Genomic DNA, 23472 nt, shown 5'->3' with positions numbered 1-23472 from the left:
ATTTGTAGCAACTTGGTTCATAATTACTAAAAAATAAGATATCCTCCTTACCTTTTTAATATCTGTAGGACATGTAGTTATAGTTTCTTTTTCAATCCTGATATTGGTAATTTGTGTTTTCTCCTTTTCTTTTTCTTGTTCTGCCTCACTAAAATTATTGGTTTAATTAATTTTTAAGAAAATCACTTTTAGCTTTTTTTTCTTTTTATGTTTAACAGCTTTATTGAGATATAATTCATATACCATAAAGCTCACCCACTGTAAGTCTACCACTTGTCTTAGTCCACTTGGGCTGCTATAACAACAATTCCAGAAACTGGCTGGTTTGTAAAGAACATAAATTTATTTATTACAGTTCTAGAAGCTGGGAAGTTCAAGACGGAATGAATTAACAGCCTGTCATATACCCATACAATGGAATACTTAGTATTCAAAAAGAAAAAGAAAAATACTATCAATTTACACAACAATTTGAATGAATTTTAAATGCATTTTGTTAGGTGAAACAATCTAAACCCAGAAGGCCACATATAGCATGATTTCATTTGTATGACAATAAGAAAAAAATCAAAATGATAGAGGCAGAATATAATTCAGCGGTTAGTGAGAATAAAGGGATTAATTCTAAAGAAAATGTTTATAATAAAAACACTGTTCTGTATGATATAATGGTGCTTGATAAAAACTACATTTGTTTGTCAAAACCAATAGAAATGTACATTATACATTTTACTGTGTACAATTTTTTAAAAAGCAGGATGTCAGTGGATCCAAGAATAAAATGTACTCTGCAAAAAATTAGCCTAAATGCATTAAATATGTCACTTAAGAGGGCGTAGAGAAAGGAAGTGACCTAAATTCCTTTGGAAAACAGTATCTCCAGTGAACACCAGGAAGCTAAGAATAAAAGAAACTGTACAAAAACATTGTACCCTAGTTGGCAAACTTTCTTCTTACAGGGATATATGTTGCCAATTCTGAAACTATTTTACACATATACTAGAGTTGAAGAAATAAGGAAATAAATCATAAATAACAGGGGCTAGGATTCTCACTTTCAGAAGAAGAAGTTACTCATAAACATCATGGACAAATAAAATCAATCCTATGGTGCTGAATTAGCTTTGGAAGTATCAGTATAAGCTCATTTATCTTAATGTATATTTAGATAACACACAAATAAATACAAATATGAATGTATACCTGGGCTGCTATACATACCTGTATCTCTTAGCTCTGTTTGCCAAGAGTGCCTAGAAGCAGTGAGCCCCCAGCAGCAATGAACACGCCTAGTGCCCGGATTTTGGTTTCTAAATGCCACCCTCCAATTAAAAGAAACAGAAATTTTGGAAGAAGAGCTGATTTTAGAGTTGGGATGATAAATACACGATGAGCTTGTAGTATCTTGTTATGTCAGAAAGTAAGATGTGCTTTGTTTCTACCAAAGAAAGAAAGAAAGAAAAAAGATAGAGGCATTTCTAAAGGACACAGAAGATAACCTAAAAAAATCCCTCAATGTACAAATCTAGAATTTGAATTTGAATAATAATAATAATGGTATTGTTGTAGAGATCTCAAAGAATGAAATATTCATTTCAAAGAATGAAAGTTCATATTGCTGTAAATAAGTGATTAAATAAATATATTGGCAAAAGACACAATTCTTTACAGGAAAATTCAAATAAAATATGAAAATAACTTCCTTCCAAACACCATGAGGTGTAGCTTAATTCCTCTTTCCTGGAGTGTGAGTTTGACTTAGTGATTCTCTTTTCAAGGACATAGTCTGGAAAGTTAGGATAGTAACTTTATGCCAGACAATGCCTTAATCAAGTGACCAAGGTGAATGCTGTGTGATAAGTCATGCTGTGTTGGTGTCACATATTCTCACATTTTATGTGATAGAGACACTTCATCTCTATGATGCTCTGAAAAACAACCTATAGCTCCAATATAGCCATGATAAAACTTCAGAGACTCAAACTGAGGGACATTCTACAAAATGCCTGAACCATACTCTTCAAAATTCTCAAGGTTATGTAAACAGGAAGATTGAGAAATTTTCACAGACTGGAAACTAAGGAGACATGACGATTGAATTCAATGCAGTCTCTTAAGTCAGATCCTGGAGAAATAAAAGGATATTAATCGGGAAGCTCATAAAATCTAAAGATGCTGTTTAGGTAATAGTATTATGCCAATGGTAATTTTTTAATTTTGCATTAATTTAATAATTTTGGATTACAGTTGTGTAAAATGTTAACATTAGGGGAAGCTAAGGGAACGTCCCTGGGAACTCTTCATACTATCTTTGCAATTCTTCAGTGAATCTAGCATTATTCAAAAATTTTTTAAAAGTTTAAAATGTCTGAAAAGTATATTTCTTATATATCAAGTACAACATGTTTATAATTTGAGAAACTTTAAATATATGTCATGGAAATGACCTGAGATGATTATCACCCTGCATGTTCAGGGCTTCAATGTGAGTTTAGTTTATGCATTAAGTCCTCTAAAGAAAGCAACTATAAATATTAATCAGAACTCTTCTCTGACCTATATCATAATTTAATATAACATTCTACATTTAGAAGGGAACTTAAATAAAATCTTTTCAAATTCCTTATACAATATTGTAAAGATCTCTTTCAATGCTTACAGACACAGGCATGTGTCATTATCCAACACTCGGTTCAGAAAATCTTTTTATTGAGCTAACACAAATATGAATTTCATTTTTATCCACTATGTCACTCTAAGCTTCTTATTTTGACAGAAAATAAATCAATTAAATAGCTGTAGCACTTGTATGTGCACATCACAAGGGTAAATAATCCCAAGCATTTTTTGTTTGTTTCAAGAACCCTTGTCACTCTTTAAACTGCATTTAAAAATCTTTATGTATTCCTCACAGTGTCTTACAATTGGAACGAAATGTATTATACCCATTGTTGTTTGATTGATCAAGATTTAAGAGGAACCAGAGAGCTCTTATCTACATATTTTCATTCTGTACCATAACCTAAATTACCATAAGCTCATCACACTATTGAAAAATATTGATGTTGTATACTCAAATTACTTCCACCTATATTTCCTATAAGTATTTTGATCCCACACTTTTGAATTAGTTTTTCCTAGAATGAATAAAGCTTTTTAGTTATTGTCATTATACGATTCATCTTATTGTTTTGCCTTTCAAAATTATTTTGAATAATTATATTCCATTTGTTTCATAATCTTAAAGATAGAATGTTATCAATGCCCTCAGCTGAATCATAGATAATAATAACTGTGGGTGAAGGACAGAATTACAAAATACAACTTGTGCGATTCTCCTCCATGTTAAAGTCTACTGTCTTGGAATTTACTAAGAATGAACCAGTCTAACAGTGTATGTAGCATACATGCTTCCATTTTTTTCATTAACTTAAGAGAAATAGTATTCAATCCTTTGGTGAAATTCGATGTCTACCAAATGTGTGTCTGTCTAGTACTGATTACAAGATTATAAAAATATAAGTTAAATGTACTCTGTGTTAGAGAATAGATGTTTGTCCCTAGTGATGGAAAGTGCTTGTGTGTGTGTGTGTGTGTGTGTGTGTGTGTGTGTGTGAATATATTTTAATAACCAAAGCTAGATATTGGGCATGATTACATCAGAGTGACTGGTATAGATCTATAGAATCTATGCAATCTACCTTCTGTCTTTCCAAAGATATAACAACTAATTTTGTCCTTTTTAGACTAAAACTTTATTTCACATAATCTATTATTTTTCAAGATCATTGACATTGTTTTAGAAATATATTTTTGTGTCATTATTTTCTTATAAACTTTATAAAACACACTGAAGAGTCTTAGATTATTTTCAAAATGAACATATAGGCATCTTAAAGACAATAAAATTTATAAATATTGATGTATAGAAATTAGATTATATGGATATATCTGTTATATACAATTATTATGTCTGTTATATACAGATTATTGTTATGATCTGAGTTGTCTTGCCAAAGTTTATATGTTGAAGACCTAAACCTTGGTATCTCTCAATGAAACTGTATTTGGACATAAGATGTTTAAAGACATAGGTAAGTTAAAATGGAGTCATTAAATGGGGTTAAAATGGGGCCCTAATCCAATATGACTTTTAACAAGAGAAGATTAGCACATACACACACACAGAGGGAAGATCATATGAAGATACAGAAAGATGATTCCCATGTTCAAGCAAAGGACAGAGGCCTCTGCTTGAATAATCATCATCATCATCTCAGAGTTCTAGCCTCTGGAATTGTGAGAAAACTAATTTCTTTTGTTAAAGCCACACAATCTGTTGTTTGGGCATAGCTTTGTTATGGCCAGCCCTAGTAAACTCATAAATATATAACTAAAGATTATTTAGTTCTCATTTTACAAAGATGGCAATTTTTTTTCAACTTTTATTTTAGGTTCGGGGTACATGTGCAAGGTTCGTTACATGGGCATATTGTGTCTCACTGAGGTTTGGTGTACAAATGATCCTGCCACCCAGGTAGTGAGGATAGTAACTGATAGGCAGTTTTTCAACCATCCCCTCCTCCATGTGAGTGTTTCCCAGCAGCTATCATTTCCATCTTGTTGCCCATGAGTACTCAATGTTTAGCTCCCACTTACAATTGAGAACATGCAGTATTCGGTTTTCTGTTCCTACTTAAATTCACTTGGGATAATACACTCTAGCTGCATCCATGTTGTGCAAATACATGATCTTGTTCTTTTTTATGGCTGCATAATATTTCATGGTGTATATGTACTACATTTTCTTTATCCAGTCCACTGTTAATGGGCATCTAGGTTTATTTCATGTCTTTACTACTGTGAATGTCTTTACTATTATGATGAACATATGCACACAGGTGTCTTTTTGGTAGAATGTTTTATTTTCCTTTGGGTGTATACCCAGTAATGGGATTGCTGAGTTGAATGGTAGTTCAGTTGTAAGTTCTTTGAGAAATCTCCAAACTATTTTCCGCAGTGGTTGAACTAATTTACATTCCCACCAACAGTGTGTAAGTATTCCCTTTTCTCCACAGCCTCATCAGCACCTGCTGATTTTTGACTTTTTAGTAATAGCCATTCTGACTGGGTGAGGATGGTATCTCATGGTGCTTTTGATTTCAAAGAAGGCAAAAGTTTTGCTGAGAATTACCATGCATATGTCGCATACACGTTTTAGTAAAATAGCAAGCACATATGCATACACATAATAGCCTATGGAGGCTGCTCAGACTACATCTAATACAAATTTTCAGTTTTGCTTCAATAAGGGTGAGATCACGAACCACCCAGTGATATCAGGAAAGAGCCCCTGCACTGCATCCAGCTGGGTCAGCACTCCTGCCCTGACCGCGTTCAGTTTGCGCCAGTGGCTCCCTGCTGGAGGTCCCTATTACTAATCAGAGGCATGAGCATTTGAAAGCACTTTCTCAATGTAGCTTTTAAAAATGGATTTTTTTATTGGCTTTATTTCCTACATATTTTGCAAAATGCTTGCTATATACTGTTTCCTCATTTTACGTGATGAAAGTAAGAGAATGATTTTCTTGTTTTCTCTAACCTCTGTATTTTGATTTTGTATTTAACTCTTCCTCATTTTCCCACCTTCATTCTCTGTCTTTATCAATGTTTTAATGCTGCAGTGGTGCGACGATTATTTAATATCACTTTTGTGGAATAATTTTGTGTTTGAAGTCATCAATATCAAGACATATCATTGTGACATCAATGGTCAGTCAAAGATTCCTAAGAACTTGACTACCCAACCTTGTGACAAATTTGACGACTTCTCCTTTTCAAATATTGCCTAATACTCATAAACATTTTGTTATTTTTTTATATCAAAGGTGGACGTAAAATAACAAGCATGTCTGCTATTTTCATTTACAGATTCTTTTCCTTGTAGATGAAAGAGATAGTTGGTTCCTCAGACTAGCATAAGGCTGTCTTCTGATCATTGGCAAATACTAAGCACCAACTTTTTATTACCCTGAGTCACCTTTGAATAGTATCTTGGCTATAATCATGAACTAGATGCTATTTCTACATAAAGCTAAAGTAAAAAACACTTATTTAAAAATCTATAGGTGATGTACTGCGGAGTGCATAATTGTTTAAAGCAGCATAGTAAAAAAGAGCTCTTTTATCTGCTAATGGGTAAAAAATGGGTTGGTGAAAGTTGCTCTAGCATCCCTGGAAACCAGTAGTTCTCAGTGCCAGAAACAATGCATTAACTTTTAACGTAAACTATTTTGGAGTCCTTTGAGAACTCTAAGAACTGCTATATAGCCGTTGGAGTATATATATATATATATATGGCAGTTCTTGGAGTTCTCAGAGAGAGAGAGAGAGAGAGAGAGTGTGTGTGTGTGTGTGTGTGTGTGTGTGTGTATGTGTATAGCGGTTCTTTGAGAGCTCAAATATATAGAGAGAATATATATATATATAAATAACAGTTGGAGTATATATATACTCACATATAATATATATATTCTATATAGAGAGAATTACATTATCATATGTAAGCATAAGCACATATTATATATAATTACATAAGTTATAGACATATATACATATAATTATATATTCTCTAAAGTTATATATTATAATATATAAAACTTTCATTAGAATCATTACTATAACTTACCTGAACAAATATGACATGTGTGACTGAAAATGGTTCACCTCCCTGGCAAATGTGGCACACATGATGGACAGCGGGAGAATAGAACTCCACTGTCTCTCAGCTGTGATCTATCCTGCCTCTTTGTAATCTTGACATTAACCTTAATTGCTAAATTGGGGGAAAAAACAAATGGCACTTCAGGTTATCCTCTCTTTGGGAGTCTTCCACCCAAAAAGGAGGCTTCAAATATCAATTGGCTGATATACTCTAATGGCTGCTATTTCCTAAGCAGATGCCACTGAATTTCATATAATTACCCTGACTCTACTATCCATAATGATTTTTAAGCCACTGATTTTGAGCTATCCATTTTGATTTTGATGGAAGTGAGCTCATCTTGAAAGGGATGTTGACAAGCAATAGAATAGGAGAGCTCTTTTATCCACATATACTAAATAAATCACTGGAGTTGAACTTGAGCTGAACTGTAACGAATGTTCACCTGATTCTGAAATGAGCTATATTGAATCATGATGCCACAGAATCACAACTTCTACAAGAATCTCAGCTCTCTGACGTCAGTGTGTTGTCCCGCAGCTCTAGGCACCTGCTGAGGTAGGCTTGGGAAAGAGGACTAGTGCAGAATCATGGACCCATTTCACCCACTACATGAAGCCATCCCAATGAGAATAACATTCCTGAAAGGAACCCTCTTGGATGTATCTGGGCCAGGCACTGGAATGATGTTTTGAATAATTATGAAAATGCAATTTTGTTTTTTTTCTAAAAGAGTTGTTTCTAATCCTTTTTTGTATTTAAGGTAGTAAACATAAAATTTATATCTGCGTTTTCTATTCTCTTAGATATTAAATTCATTGGTGGCAGAAACCATACTATTTCAAAGAAAAAGTGCCCCCCGAGGCAAGGCTTTTGTGGCGGAGGAGTTGTTGGGCATGGTAGTTGGGTTCTTCCTGCGAGCCACGGTTGCATGCTGAAATTTGTAGACAAAACTCAAATGTCTGTCAAGCATGCTCATAATTATATTTTAAGGTATAGTTCTGAGGTTTTCATATCACATTTTTAGGGCTGCCTATTAATCCTTCTGCTTCATAATTCTACTGAAACAGTTTGTATCTTATAATTTTAGTTTGAATAGTTAGACTTTAAAATTCTCTTTCTTTTAATTCTGCAACAAAAAAACCTTTTGCCATTGTGTAGAAAAATATAATCTAGTCAGGTGATAGCTGTATCAGTTTATAAATCTTAACAGAACACCCAGGAATACCATATTCAAAGAAAGGCCTCTGTATGTCTCCCTAGCATCACATTCTGTTTAAGTGAAGCAATGGACAAAACTTCCTTTCAACTCCCTGCAACATTAGTCCTGGCCACTCTGGGCCATTTGGAAGAACCTTCTTTTCTCCCCACTGATTAGTGCCTATTAGGGTTTTCTGGACAAGAGCAACTTTGTTTATACTACTCAAAATGTTGCCTTCGTACAAATCTCCACCCCTTTACCCAAGTCCCCAGCCTGCCCATGTGGCTTCACACAGAGGGCTGTCTCACCCTGCCCTGCTCTTCCCCACACCCACCTGGCTGCAAGAAAGACATGGCCTCACCCTCAACTCCCTTTCCGAGTTCAGGCAGCCGAGTCCTTACGCTGTCCTGGTGCCTCCTCAGTGCTTTCTAAGAGCACAACTCGAAGACCCATCAAACTCATCAACATCAGGGCATTCCGGACAAAAAGATAAAACCTGTTGCAGGTTTTTTTCATTCTGGGTATTACAGTCTTATATAAAATTCAAGGTTAATGTTTGAAAATTTGTTTGAACCAAAACAAAAATAGAAAATTAAGAAAATAATTTTTAAATAGATATTCAGTTGTACTATTTTTTTCAGCTTTAAGAACCCAAGTATGGGCCCAATGAAAAGTAATTAACATAAGTTTGAGATGAGTTTTAGGGAAAAACATCCCCCCCCGCATTTAGGGAACATGTGCACTGACTGGGTATTTGGTTATGCTGAGGAATTATTGTTGTATTTTTAGAAATGATAATGATATAACAGCAATGTTCATCAAAAAGAATCTATCTTTTAGATACACATAATGTAATGCCTACAGAAAACTAGAATTACATGTGCAGAGTTGTAGAGTTCGCTGCAAAATAATCAAAGAATGGGAATAGGACCAGGACTTAGACAAAACCAAACAGAACAATATTGGTTAAATTTTTCTAAATGTAAATAGATTTTTAAAATTTCAAAATTTCTCTTAAATATGACCAGCCAAAGAGAATATTAGAAGGAAAAATTATAGGCTTATTTCATGGATGAACTAAAACTTTTGTAATCTAATCGATTAAATATAATCTAATAGCAAACATTATTAATCAATGTGTAAAAAGCTTAATATGTCATCCATTATCTCTATTTTATGATTCTAGGTTTCTATTTGTTTCTAGGCATAAAATCCTCCCACCCCTTCTTCTATGTGATGATTTGACCTGAAGTTAACTTTCTAACTCTGCTCCCCGGTAAATTGATATAGTGGTATGTCAGATATGCAGCTAGGCCACATGACTCCTAGTCAATATCACCCTTGAGCAGTAGATTGAACCTGGACAGGGAGAACCATGATGGCAGCTGTCTCCCTGGGCCTCCCTGAGGGCAGTGACTCTTGGAACTGGCTGATCCCTTCTGGGAACACTGGTAATTATACCTATGGACCTATAAGCCTGTGCACAAGAGCTACTGGCACTTTGGGGAATGAAAGTTTTAGTCAAGGTGACTCCTACATCTCTTTTCCCCATCTGAATCCCATTTTCTTGGCCCTAAACTGTACTGCTCTGTGTACTGTGCAAGGTCTACTCATAACAACTATGGCTTCTATTTTATTTGACTTAAGAAAACAGAGCATGTTGGACTTATAAATTATATGTATGCATTTTTTTTTTTTTTTTTGCGAATGCAGTGCCTCACTACCACAAATTATGCAGTCAAGTCTCCCATATTTGGGGACATCGCAGGGGTCAGCATGTCCAGAGTGCAATGGATAAGCCTTGCCCTGGGAAAACCACCTTCGTGATCATGGTTATCTCCCCTGCCAGGTAAGTATGCTTCACCATTTTCTTAATTTAGGAAAAATATTGTTCTACCATGATGTTTATTCTTGAACTTTTTAAGTAAATTTCATAAAATATCTTATATTGTACCTTTGAATGAATGAATTTCCAAAATAGTTCTTTTATTTCATAAATCAGATAAAAAATCTTTGAACTAATTTTGAAATTAACTGAGCTTATTTTCTGTTTGAAGCAACTGATGACACTAATTTACACCTGGCAGCATTTAACTATTAGCGAAAGTTTTCTCTTATAACAGAATGAAGATAACACCGAAAGTGACAATGTCAAGTCAGACCCATAGGACTCAGAGATTTTACTCAATAGCAACATTTACTAATTCAAGGGAAAAGATAACTGTAAGACACAGGTGAAGCTCTGTGACCCACTCAGGTCCTCACTTTGCTTCTTGACTGTGTGCCAGAAATAAGAGTCTCTCTGTGAGCTCTTGCCCTCAGCCTTTAACTGCTTGCCGATGGTCACCAGTTGCTGGTGGTGAGCTCCCTGCTGATGTCCTGTTTCTTTGTTAAGCATAGGAGATGACTTCAGGGTCATGAAAAATCTTTGCAGAAGGGATGAGTGCATTTAGGGAAATTGTGACCAGCTACTGACATCCACGAGTCTGGTTGCTCAAGGTGCTATCTGAGACTGAACAAACACAGACTTTTCCTCTTTCAGGAGTTCCCTGAAACTCCTCCAACTTACTCTCTAGCTGTACAAAAACTGTGTGCTGCTTCTTTCTGTTAAGATAGATTTGTGAGATCTTGCCCCATCCCACCATCTTCTTGCTTTGGCCAAATTGAATAAATCTTTTTTTCGAAGCACCTGTATGTCAGTGTGTTTGCATCAGCTGTACATTGGCGACACAAGCTTGAACTTGGGGTTTTACAACAACACCTGGATAGATTCTCCTGAGGACATTGAGTTTACAAATGCGTACCCTCTTTCCTGCAGCCCTCAGGGCTTGCAGAAGCAGCCCATTCTTCCCTGGTGAAAGCTGGGACTGCCTTCAAGCTGGAGGTCGTGGCTGCAGAGGCCTCTACCCGACAAAGCATTAGGTGTGCTCCTGGAGAATAGCCCACTTCTTCCCAAAGCTGACAGGACCATAGCTAGAAGTAACACCCAGCATCAGCCGACGCAGAGAATGACGGACTTGAAATTGACTGTACGTCAAAGGGGAAACTTAACTGCTACAGTGGACTTTAGAAGAGATGGCCACCATAGATTCACGTGGAAATGTTCCAGTTCCCTTGGAAAATGTTAGAAGAAATGCTGACAATTGAGAAATATGGGAATTCTGGAATGGGCATATTGCATAAGACCAGAAAACTCACCTAAATTTTGTGTTGTCTGGGAATGCCCAAAGGACACATTATTCACCAAGGCCATTCAGAATGCTTTGGAGAGGCAGGCACCGGAATTACTAACAAATTCGGTCATAACTGTCCTCTGCATGCCACAGCTGATAGTAAAAAAGGGAGTTACAGTTTTGGGCTCAAATATATATAAACACGCCCCAAAGCATTAGAGGCTAGGTGCAGCTCTTAACTGCTGGAATCCAGAAAGTGGCAATTACCACAGTGACCAGCAGGTCCTTTGCTTACTTTTTAATGCCATACATATATATGTGTGTGTGTGTGTATATATATATATATATATATATATATATATACACACACACACATATATATACGTGTATCACATGTATATACGTATATATACACGTATATACACGTATATATACGTGTATATATATATATATTTCTGTTGAGTGTTTTGGGTTCCTTGCACACTGGATATTAGTCCCTTGTCAGATAAATAGTTTGCAAATATTTTCTCCCACTCATGTTGTCTCTTCACTCTGTTAATTATTTCCTTTGCTGTGCAGAAGCTTTTTCATTTAATATAGTCCCAGCCAGGCACGGTGGCTCATGCCTCTAATCCCAGCACTTTGGGAGGCTGAGATGGGCGGATCACCTGAGGTCAGGAGTTCAAGACCAGCCTGAGCAACAAGGTGAAACCCCATCTCTACTAAAAATACAAAAATTAGCCTGTGTGTTGGCAGGCACCTGCAATCCCAGCTACTTGGGAGGCTGAGACGGGAGAATTGCTTGAACCTGGGAGGCAGTGGTTGCAGTGAGCTGAGATCACGCCATTGCTCTCCAGCCTGGACAATGGAGCGAGACTCCGTCTCAAAAAAAATAAATAAATAAATTTAAAAAATATATATATGTGTGTGTGTGTGTGTGTGTGTGTGTGTGTATAGTCCCATTTGTCCATTATAGATCAAGAAATTGTTTCTAGACACAGAAACATGGAGAAATCTTAGGAAAAAAATAGAGCTGAGTGAAAAAAGTTGGGAATAGAATATATAAAGGTCAATATTACTTACATAAATTTGGAATACATGTAAAAAGCAGTACATGTTTTATTGGAAAGGCTGAAATGAAATAGTAACCTCAAACACCTTAGGAGGTTTGCATGGTGAAGGAAAGGGATGCAGCTGAGAGAACAGAGGAAAAGGGAAAATGCAAATTAAGGAAATGGAGAGAAGTTCTTCATAGACAAGTGATGGGTGCTGCCTCTTCAGACTGAACGATGTGATCATTGATCCCGTGTTTTAAGATGGAAACAAAAGACAATTTGACTAAGTGGTGTGGTGAGGAGCTACTCGAGCTCATTAGCTAGCTTGAAATTCATAGTAAAATTCATGATGATATATCTTTCCACATCTGCCCAATTAGGGGAGAGGAAATAGTCTGACATTATCAAGTGGTGGTGAGTATGTGGTAAACTGACACTCACATACTCTGTTTTTAGTAAACGTAAATTTTATTTAATGGATACCTTTAATTTATTTTAACTTAATAAGAAATTTCATTTTGAAAACAGTTTTGAGTAGAACAATTTTCTAGTTTCACCAACAAAATGAACATGTGTTTTCAATAAATATTTTCAGAAATATGCATAATCTTAGTCATTTTAACATTCATTTTTACTCTCAAAATCTTCCCAATGGGAAGATAAAGTATGTCGTCAATTTTGCCTTGAGTTCTTAGGAAGGCATATGTGAGTTATTCGTCTCGGGTTTTTTTTTGTTTTCTTTTTTGTTTTTTTGTGGGGTTTTTTGGTGGTTATCAAGGCATTGAAGGCAAACTAGGAACACATAGGAAAAAGTTGCAAAGGAGTTTGCAATTTACCTCGTGTATTAGTCAGGCTTCTTCAGAGACTGGCTCACCTCATGAAGGCTGAAAAATCCAGAGGTCTACAGTAGCAAGCTGGAGACCCAAGAAAGCTAGTGGTGTAGTTCCAGTCTGAGTCCAAAAGCCTGAGAAATAAAAAGAGCTAAAGGTGTAAGTTCAGTCTGAGGGAAAGAAAAGACTGATGTCTGAGATCAGCATTCAGGCAGGCAAAGTTCTCTGTTATCCAGGCTTTCGTTCTAATCAAGCCTTCAATTGATTGGATGAGGCCCACACACTTTAGCTGCTGTGTCAAATTTATCTACTGATTCAAATGTTAATTTCCTCCAGAAACACCCTCTGAGACACACTCTATGTTTGACCAAATATCTGGGCACCCTGTGGACCAGTCAAGATGCCACATAAAATTAACCATTACAACGTCAAGTATTTGAAAACATACATATTTTATGACACAGAAAGTCTACTATTAGATTTATAACCTAGAATAACTCTCCCATATGTGCACCAAACATTTCAACTCCTCATCAACAGAAGAACAGATAACTACATTGAGATATTAACATACAATGGAATATTGTAGGCAGTGGAAATGAATAAGTAGATGACTTCAACCAGCATGGTTGAATCTCAAGTACTAAATACTGGGAGAGGAGTCACAATGCAAGGCATACAGAGTGTTTCCAAATTAAAAAAACGTATATAAAAACAGGAGAAATTTTCCACATAGAGAAAGGGAACAATAATATAAAGAGATTTATTAGCAAAGCCAGTTCAGGAACAAGATCACCATGGTGAGAAAGGGAGAAAGATGGCAGGAGTTAGGACAGGCTTAGGACCATGCATAGAGCAGAGGCATGAGATGTTTTTCAGCCTGAGGGACAGGAACAGGATGTTCTTTTATTATTCTTTAAAATATGCATCTGTTTTATGAGCCCTTATGAGCCTGTGCTACGTTATATAAAACTTTTACAAAATGGAATTTGGAATACCATGTTAGATTATTTGTGGGGCTTTTTAAGAATCAAAACTTGTTAAAATCTTCATGCAATACTGTTCTGCTTATCTTTAAGGAATTTTATATCTAAGTGCCACTACAAGCAGGCTATTTACTAACAAGAACAAAATTAAGGCTCAGTGTGGGCAGTGTCTGTTACTCAGTTCCATGATGAAAATCCCCAGGTAACTCTGATCTTGGCCTCTAATCTACAGGAGAAAAAATCTAGAATGGTGAGATTTTCAGTACTGCTTCCTCCAATGCAAACACCATGCACTGAAATTACATTACTCTTCCCATTCTAGCTACTTTAACATATGGTCTCCTTCCACATCTATGATGTTAAAACATGAAATCTCACACAGAAGAATGGGAATGGACCCTACATAACGTTCATCTAAGAGGCTAGAACAAGCTGTGGCCCACCAGTGACAAAATGGCAAAGATGCCTTGTTGTCAAAGAGAGAAAGAAGTCCTTTCACTTTGCCAATATTCTCAACTTCGCATAAACTATGTCTTAGCACAACGACTTTCTTAGTTATTTTAAGCGCCATTATTAGAGATTTATTAGGCATGGTGGGAGTGGTATCGATTAAAATGGAAACACATGTTTAGAAATGTAGACCTTTTTAAAACCAGAGGTCTTTTGAAAGACATGGAATAACATGTTATAATACATAAAAATATATATGTAAAACGGTTATATTCTGTATTTCCTACATTTTATTATACATTCTCTAGAATCTGTTGCAATAGAAATATATTGGCTAACCCTCTAGAATATATTTTATAAAAGCCATTTTAGGAAGATAAACACATCTGAGGCCACAGGATACATTTTAGAAATTCTAAGTAAGTGTAAATATAAAAGTCTATTATGGGCTTATCACCTGAACATTTAATCAAGAGAAAGAACAACTGCATGTTTACTTGGGAGTTCTAAATTATGTCCACTGATGTTTTGGCCCTTTTCCCATTGAGAGGCAGGGTCTAGGTTACTGGACCAATAGAACAAGGAAGTGACATTGACGTTTTCCAGTCCTGGCCCTGAAGACCTGGCAGCTTCCACTTTCACTCTAGGTATGCTTTTTTGACTCCCAGCCATCTTGCTAAGGGCAGCTCCATGTGCCTGGGAAGAGACCAGACCAGGATCCAGAGCTGTGTCTTTCCGGCTCCACATGTGCCTTTACTTCCTAGTCCTACTCTTTCTTCTGAGCTACAGTTCCTCTACTTGAATCAAAACTCAAAATGGCTAAAATTGGACTCATTAACTTGTTTTATTCTTTCCCTTGTAGGATCTAACATTGTGATCGACACCATCATCCAGCCCATCATTCAAATCTGAAACTTTGGAGAAGTAGTCAACAACTTCTCATTCAGTTTCACCATCCAATCAGTCATGGAATCCTGATGATCTTTAACTTCCTCCACCTGGCCCAAATATCTCCTTTCCTCTCTCTTCCAATTTTGTCTTTATTCTCATTGTTCTGTAATTACACAATTTTCCTACTGATTTCTAGAATGAAAAACTGCTGCATTCATTTCCATTATTAACATTCTTCCACGTTTGTGTGTCTTTTGGGATAACAACCAAGTATTCTCAGAACAGCACTATAAAGCAGTATAATGTCAAAGGGATCTGAGATCAAAGCTTTGTTCTAGATAACAGACGAGATTAGATCTTGGCACTGTTAACACGAACAGAGGCTGATGAAAGAGAAATAATCTGAGGAGGGTATAAGGTTGCAAAGAAGGAAAAACAATGCTAAAACGTTAAAGTATAAATAGCAGTACTAATAAAGCCTACGAGGTGGTGGCCTAGCTCCAGATAGTCTTTTGTTTAGCAGAATACTTTGATGGACCAGTTCTTTGAGGGAAATTATATCGCAGAGCCTAATCAAAAGATGAATAAAGATATTACTTTCCAGAAGCCAAGTTTTGAATAGCTGGCCTTTGAGGGTGAGTGATAAGCAGAGTAGAGAGGTTAAATGGTGAGGTGAATGCCAGGTGTGATCCTGGGAGATGATTCATGGACTCATCCTGCAGAACCTCGAGAACACAGCCCTGTGAATGTCCAGTAAAAGGTACATGGGGGCACGTGGATCTGGCAATATGATTTTTCCCTACACAGATTGACTTAGACCCTAAGAAGTATGTTGCAGTACCATTCAAGCAATAGTTTTAGCTCTTTCATTTATCAACCCCCAAAATAATGATCGGGCAGCTAAAGTGTGTACAGTTCTGTGCTGGAAGCTTTGAGAAATGCCCAAAACAATACGTTCATGGAATTTGTGGACTTGCTGACCAGGAGTTCTCTATAACTTTTGTTAAAACCAACAATCTATGTTTCTACGTATTTTCAGCCATTCCCATATTTGATTGACAATAGATATTATTACTAGATGGTCATGAGTTAGGTGTAACATAGAAGAAAAATGGATTTCCATGAATATGAGTGTATTTCATTAGTAAAAAATATTTATTAATGATAATATTAAAGTGACAAATATAGTTTTACTACATAAATTGCCTGTATATACAAGTAAAATACATGCATTAATACTTTTCAGTATATTGTTTGAAATATGCTTCCTTTGCACAAATGTTTTAATCAATTTGGTTAATTTGACAGGTCTCGAAATATCAAGGAATGGACAATTTAGTTGAAAATACCTTTAGAAATTCATAAAAACCAGCAAGATGCTTTTGCCTAGTGTGCCAGATTTTTCCAGTGCTGAATTTTAAAAGGTTGTTAAGGTTGCTGTTAGATGAAGTTTCCTCACACTATCTAAAAATAGATTATCTACATAGCCTCTTCAAGTTCCGAACATATTATTTTCCCCCAAGAACTTAGAGGACAATCAAATTCAAATAAAAATTTAAAAAGCACATCAAAAATCATCTTGTTCACTGATTCTCTTTGTTCCGAATAAAGGACATTCTTGTCTACTACTTTGGTAGGGATTTTGAGAATAGCCTCTGAAACACTTCTTTTCAGAGAGAAATACACACACACACACACACACACACACACACCCCAGTATACTCACCTGCCTTTTTGCAATATATCTTGTGTTTTGCTTATCCATAGAGCTTTTCATTTTAACATCTCTGAAATACAGATAAGACACACAGTCAAGGGTGCCTGGCAATCACTCTTGGCAGGGGTGCATTTTCCATATATGCTTAAAACTTCTGAGACCCATGACCCAGGCTGTCCTCTTCCACGCTGTACTCCTAGGTAGGAACTGAAAAAGCTATGTGGATAATAAGCAGGGCCAGCCCGGAAGGGTAGGCTGTCCTGTGCAAGAAGCCTGGCCTATGGGGAGCACTGCTTTGCATGGACCTCACCACACTCTGGGGCTCAGCCACAGAGGGGCAGTATACCTGTTTTTCCCTCTAATACATACAACACAGCCTATTGGAGCATTTCTGTACTAGCCCCAAATGTCAAAAAACATCCTTTAATCTCTTTAATCTCTGAGCTTAAATTTTGGTTTTACTTTAACTCTGTGATCTTGGCAAGTTACATAACCTTTTAGTCCAAATGATTGCTTATCTGTAGAATGGAAGTAGTCATCCACTGTATGGATTTTTGTAAGATTTTTGGTACAATGCAGATTAAAATTTTTGCATAGTGACTGGACCATAGTAGGGGATAATATAAGCCAACTATTGTTATCATTTTTGTTGTTAGTTACCACCATAAAATCTATTTTTAATAATTTCAAAAATTATATTGAACATTGTCTTTGATAACATCTGCTTTCAACACTTACGATATGTCTTCAAACTCACTAATCATAAAAGATTTAACATTCCAGAAGCCCATCGGCCAGATATATAAGTCTCTAAAATATACTTAAAATAATCTCCCCTCTAATGAGCCAAGTAAGAGTATTAGGAGTATTGTGATAAAGAATTGGCAAAAAGATTGATATCAAAGTGGAAGTTTTTATTTGACTGCTCAAATACAATGAAGGAATGATTTATTTCTTTGATGTAATATGAAAAGTGGCCAGAGCCCTTTGAGGACAATGAAGAACAATGACCTCACCGATGTACATGCAGCCTATTCCCCAGTAATTAGACAAATCATCCATTTTTGTTTACTTTGCCTCATATTTTGTGCTTTGACATCAGAACTTGTTCCATGTCCAAGTTTCCAGATTTTTTTTCAAACTTTCAAAACTGAACATTCAATATGTTTCTCCTGCGGTCTGTCCTAGCTGTCATAGAGCACTTTACTCATCACATCAGCTGAAGAAGATCACACCATTGATGAAAGCAATAATACAGCCAACATTGTGCCATAGAAATATTAATCTGACTTCTGCTTATTAGATATGCCAGAGGGCAGAAATAATGGAAACAAGTATATAAATTGGAATGCTATTTCAATAGTTTAGCTAATATATATTGGACTTGCTACCATAATGAATATGATTGTTGAGAGATGGGCACAGGTATAAGAACTGATCTCAGGAATAATAACTGATATTAATTGATTTGATGATGGAAAAGTATAAAATCTAGTAGTGAAGTTTGGAAAATGATACAGTTAATATAAAACACAATTTAAAATTGGGAACAGGTTTAATAGGTCTGGAACATTCTGGATTTATGTTCAAGTTAGCATAGAAACGAATAGGAAGTGATTAATATTGAGACTAGTGCTTGAAAGAGAGAACAAATATGTAAGTTACTGGTAAAGAATTTTCCACATAGAGAGTGGTTCAGAAAAAGTAGCACAGCATCAAAGAAAGAAGGTTGAAAACGTACTTTCTAAGACGTCTGGTGAAGGAGCTAAGAGGAATACTCAAAAAGTGACAGAAACCTGGCTGTCCCATGTCCCATGTCATGTAAATCAAAGAAAGGGCAGAGTTCAAAAGAAATATTCCAGCATTGGAGACTGTCATATAATGAAGATACAATGCAGTAAACTGAGGAATGGAAAAAGCCACTGGATGTATCTAATATGTTTACTACGGGTTTTCAAGAGAACAGTTTTTGTAGCCAGGATCGAGCAAAAGCCTGGTTGAAAGGACAAAAGGTGTAAAACTGGAGAAGGAGGTGGAAAATTAAAAGAATTTGAAAGAGTTACAAAAATGCCACCCTAAAATATGATGCTTTGCTCTGCTGATTACTTGGAACTGAGGGCACTTTGGAAACAGCAAACACAGGCAGTGCAGGCAGAGGCTTTCTCTGGGCTCTGCTCATCTGTCCAAAGACGGGTCCTCCCAAAGGAACTCAACTGTCATGAATACCCTCCCTCGGCATTCAACCAGGAAAGATTAAAGGATCACTGGAGAGAACATTAGAATTTCACCCCATGCCCATTCAATCATTTATTCCTCCTAAAGCTGCAGAGACTGAATCGGCATAACAGGACAATCTTTGTGCCCCATACCTTTCCTCCCTTCACCCTTCTATAACTTGTGTCACCACCACCCCCCAAGAACCCCACAATTCTATGCCTCTCAGCTCAGGATGCTATATAAGCTTCAATCATCTGACCATTCTTTGAGTCTCATATATTATGGGATTCTCATGTGTACATAATTAAAATATTTTCCGTATTAATCTGTCCCATGGCAATTTAATTTTAGTCCAGTCAAAGAACTTAGGAAGGTAGAAGGAAGCTGTTTTTTACTCCCATGCATACCTCCATAATAGTAAAAGTAATATATATTATAGAGCAAAATACAATAGAAAGAAATCCTGATAAAGAATAAAGTCCAGAATAAGAGCGAAAGTCATGTTTTACAAAAGGAAATACATGATAAAGTAAGATCTACAGAGGTTGGAGAGAATGCTGTTTAGTAAATACATTGTAGGTAACTTCTCAAAATAAAATCCTCAGATAAAAATGTAAAAATTAAATAATCAAATATACAATTTTTATCATTTAAATTAAATACAATTATTGATATAGTTACATTTAAACCCATCATCTTACTATATATTTATTTTCTATTTTTTCATTTTACTTCCATTGTCCCACATGTTCTGGGTTTTTAATTTTCTATTTTCTTCCTTCTTTTGATTAATTAATTGCTTTTTGTAATTCAGTTAAAATGTGCTGGCTTATTAGCTGCAACTCTTCACCATTTTAGCATTTGCTGTAGTGTCTAGAGCATACATCTTTAACTTTTCAGAGTCTACCACAGTCTTTCATGTTATATCCCAACAATTCCTATAGTATAAGAAACTTACAATTATGTACTTCCCATTTTTTAATCTACATTCTTTGTGCTATTTTTTCATGTATTATACTTTTACCCAACATACACACAATATATACACTTATATCTATATATATTTGTACATACATATACATTTAGATGTGCTATAAACGTTACAATATATTGTTATTAATTATACTTACATTCAATTTTATCTTAAAAATTTTAAATATGGCAAATTGTGTATATTTGCTCAGGTAGTTCATATTTCCAGTGTTTTGCATTGTTTTTTCTGTATTCTTATTTCAATTTTATACATTTTCCTTCTCTCTACAAGATTTTCTTTCATACTTCAGATATGCAAGTCCGTTTGTGACTAAGTCCTTCAAACACTTTGGCTAAAAAAGTACGTATTTCACTTTTAGTTTGGAAAGACATTTTTGCTAAGTATAAAACTTGAGGTTTATGGATTTTTTTTTCCTTTCAGTACATTAAAAATGCTTTTCTATTGTTTTCTCTCTTGTATTTTTAACAGTGAGAAATCAGGCATTATCTTTTATCATTACTCCATACATAGCAATAGCAGGTTTTATTTTTCCTGATAACATTTAATACTGTTTCTTTATCCCTGGTTTTGAGCAATTTGATTGTGATTTAAGTTGCTGTCATTTTCTTCATATTGCTTTTTCTTTGAGTTTATTCAGTGTCTGTGATCTGTGGATTTATAATTTTCATCAAATTTAGAAAATTGTCAGTAATCTTTTACAAATATTTTATGTATCAATTTTTTCCTTCATTTGGGGGGGCTCTCTTGATACAAATTGATCAAGTAATTACACTGCTTAATTTCTCACAGCCCTCTGTTGCCCTCTTTTTTATTTTTATTTTTATTTTTAACTTTGAGTTGTTTTGTTCTCCTTGTGTGTCATTTTGGATAGGTTCTATTGCTATATTTTTAACTTGATTAATTTTCTGCAATGTCTAATCTACTGTTAATACCAGAAGTGCATTATATTTTTAAAAATCTCAGACGTGATAATTTTCTTCTCTTTGTCTTCATTTGGGTCTTTTTATATGTCAGATAGTTCCACTTATCATTTTCAATATTTGCAACACAGTTATTTTAACTGTATTAACATCCTTCTGTGTTAATTTTAAAACCTATCCCAGTTTTCAGTTGTATTGATTAATTTTCATTATTCTTGTGAATAATAATTTTACTTTTTTGTATATCTGTTAACTTTTAGTTGAAAACAAGTTATGGTGAGGTTTACATTTCTATATGCTACATATATTTGCATTCAAATAATTTTTCCTATGGTTTGTAGTGGGATAAAGATACATTGCTTGAGAGCAGTTTGATTCTTTCAGGTTTTACTTTTATGACTTGTTAGATAAGTCCAGGATAGTTCTTGGCCAAGGGCTGGTCAAGTCCCATTTCTGGAGCAAGGCTTCCTGCATGCTATACCGCAGGCTCCATGACTGATGAAGTTTCCACCTGGCTGAAGAACGGTCACCTCTCAGATTTGGGGGCAGTTCTTTCTCTAGCCTCAGGTAGTCTTCTCACAAGCATGTGCTTATCAGAACTTTGCTAAATAATCACAAGTACCCTCTTTAGTTCTCTGGTGTTCTGTCCTTGAGCAGTTTGTTCTTCTCTGACACTGTGCCCAGCAAACCCGAACTGCATGGTTTTCCTAGCCTCTCAGCTCTAACTCCTCAACCTCAGGAGTCCACCAAGCTATGCATGGGCTCCCCAATGGTAATTTTAATTTTATGGGTCAACTCAACTAGACTATAGTGCCCAGTTGTTGGGTCAAAATCTAGTGTAGATATTCTTGTGAAAATATTCTGTAGATGTGATTAACATTTACAAACACTTGACTTCAAGCAAGGGAGATTACTGTTGATAATGTGGGTGGGCATCATCCAATCAGGTGAAGGACTGAAGATGAAAATTGAAGTTTTCAAAGAAGGAATTCTGCCTCAAGGCTGTAATGTAAGAAATCCTTCCTGATCTTCTGGCTTACTAGCCTGTCCCACAGATTTCAGACTTGCCAGCAGTCCTCCCCAACAACTGTTTGAGCTACTGCCTTAAAACACACACACATATACAAACACACACACACACACACACACACACTCTTCATCCTATTGGCTCTGTCTCTCTGTAGAACCCTAAGTGATAACTGATACACTATACTTATATTTTGCCCTGGAAGCTCTTTTAAAAATCAGACTTACCTCATTGTTTCTCACCTATCAGGATTTCTATCCTTGCTGCCTTTTGCCCAGTGTCTTAAAACCCATTGTTTCATAGACACTGCCATATTTTGTTTGTTTCAGGAGAGAAGGTAAATCTGGTTTCTATTACTCCTTCTCCTGGAACTGGGAAGTTTTTAGTAACGTTCTTAGGTATCAGTTTCTCTAAGATGGCTTCACTCTCTTTGGGCCAAGCAGCTACTTAAATCTGGCTGACCTCTTTCCCTTTGACACCCTTTTATGCATCCTCTGGATACTTCTTGCTCAGTGCTATTGACTTCACTTTCATGGATAGGATTCTACTTCACCCTTAACTTCAGACTGCACTAGCCAACCCCCCAACCTCTTAATTCTAGTGTCCATTCGCCCCCTTACTGGGGTACGGGACTCTCCTGGAAAAACATATATTTTATAAGAATGATAAGCCCACATCCCCAAATGAGTTTGTTATCTGATTACCAGGACTTACAGATTTGGATTACTAGATAAAACCCTCTTCATTTTTACATTCATCTGCCAGAAATAAGTAGCATTTACTTATCTCAGGGTACATGTCAAGGTGCAAAAAGAGTGACTGTGCTATGGTTTGAATGTTCATCCCCTCTGAAACTCGTCTTGCAACGTTGTTCTCAATTTTGCAGCGTTGAGAGGTGGGGCCTTTGAGAGGTGATTGGGTCATGAGGGCTGCCCTCATGAATGGATTAATCTATCCATGTATTAATGGATTAATGAATTAATGGGTTATCATGGGAGTGGAAATAGTGACTTTATAAGAAGAGGAAGACAGACCTGAGCGAACATGCTCAGCCTCCTCACCATGTGATTCTCTGCATGGCCTTGGTATTCTGCAGAGGGGCCCCACCAGCAAGAAGGCCCTCATCAGATGTGATCCCTTGATCTTGGACCTGCCTACCTTTGGGAAATAAATTTTGTTTCTTGTAAGTTACCCAGTTTCAGGTATTCCGTTGTAAGCAACAGAAAACAGACTATGATGAATACCATTTTTTCTGGCATTAACTCACAATGTCAGTTCAGGTTGCTC

At 36.0% G+C, this 23472-nt stretch overlaps 1 long non-coding RNA gene and 1 pseudogene across 3 annotated transcripts in view; one reads left to right on the top strand and one right to left on the bottom strand.

Annotated features, from left to right (window-relative positions):
* The window catches only part of LOC105375282 (uncharacterized), a 70883-nt gene that overhangs the window by 43067 nt on the left and 4344 nt on the right, over positions 1-23472 (top strand). For 2 of the 3 annotated variants that reach the window (XR_927269.3, XR_927267.3), the window contains one exon: positions 9639-9774. The exons of the other annotated variant lie outside the window; for it this stretch is intronic. This is a non-coding gene — a long non-coding RNA (uncharacterized LOC105375282). The remainder of the gene's footprint in view (positions 1-9638; positions 9775-23472) is intronic. 3 annotated transcript variants of the gene reach the window in all.
* RNU1-14P (RNA, U1 small nuclear 14, pseudogene) lies at positions 9629-9782 on the bottom strand (annotated as a pseudogene).

This window comes from Homo sapiens, chromosome 7, assembly GCF_000001405.40.
Source record: "Homo sapiens chromosome 7, GRCh38.p14 Primary Assembly".
Classification (NCBI taxonomy): Eukaryota; Metazoa; Chordata; class Mammalia; order Primates; family Hominidae; genus Homo; species Homo sapiens.
The sequence above is the reverse complement of the archived record's forward strand: the minus strand, read 5'-3'. Positions and strand labels throughout refer to the sequence as shown.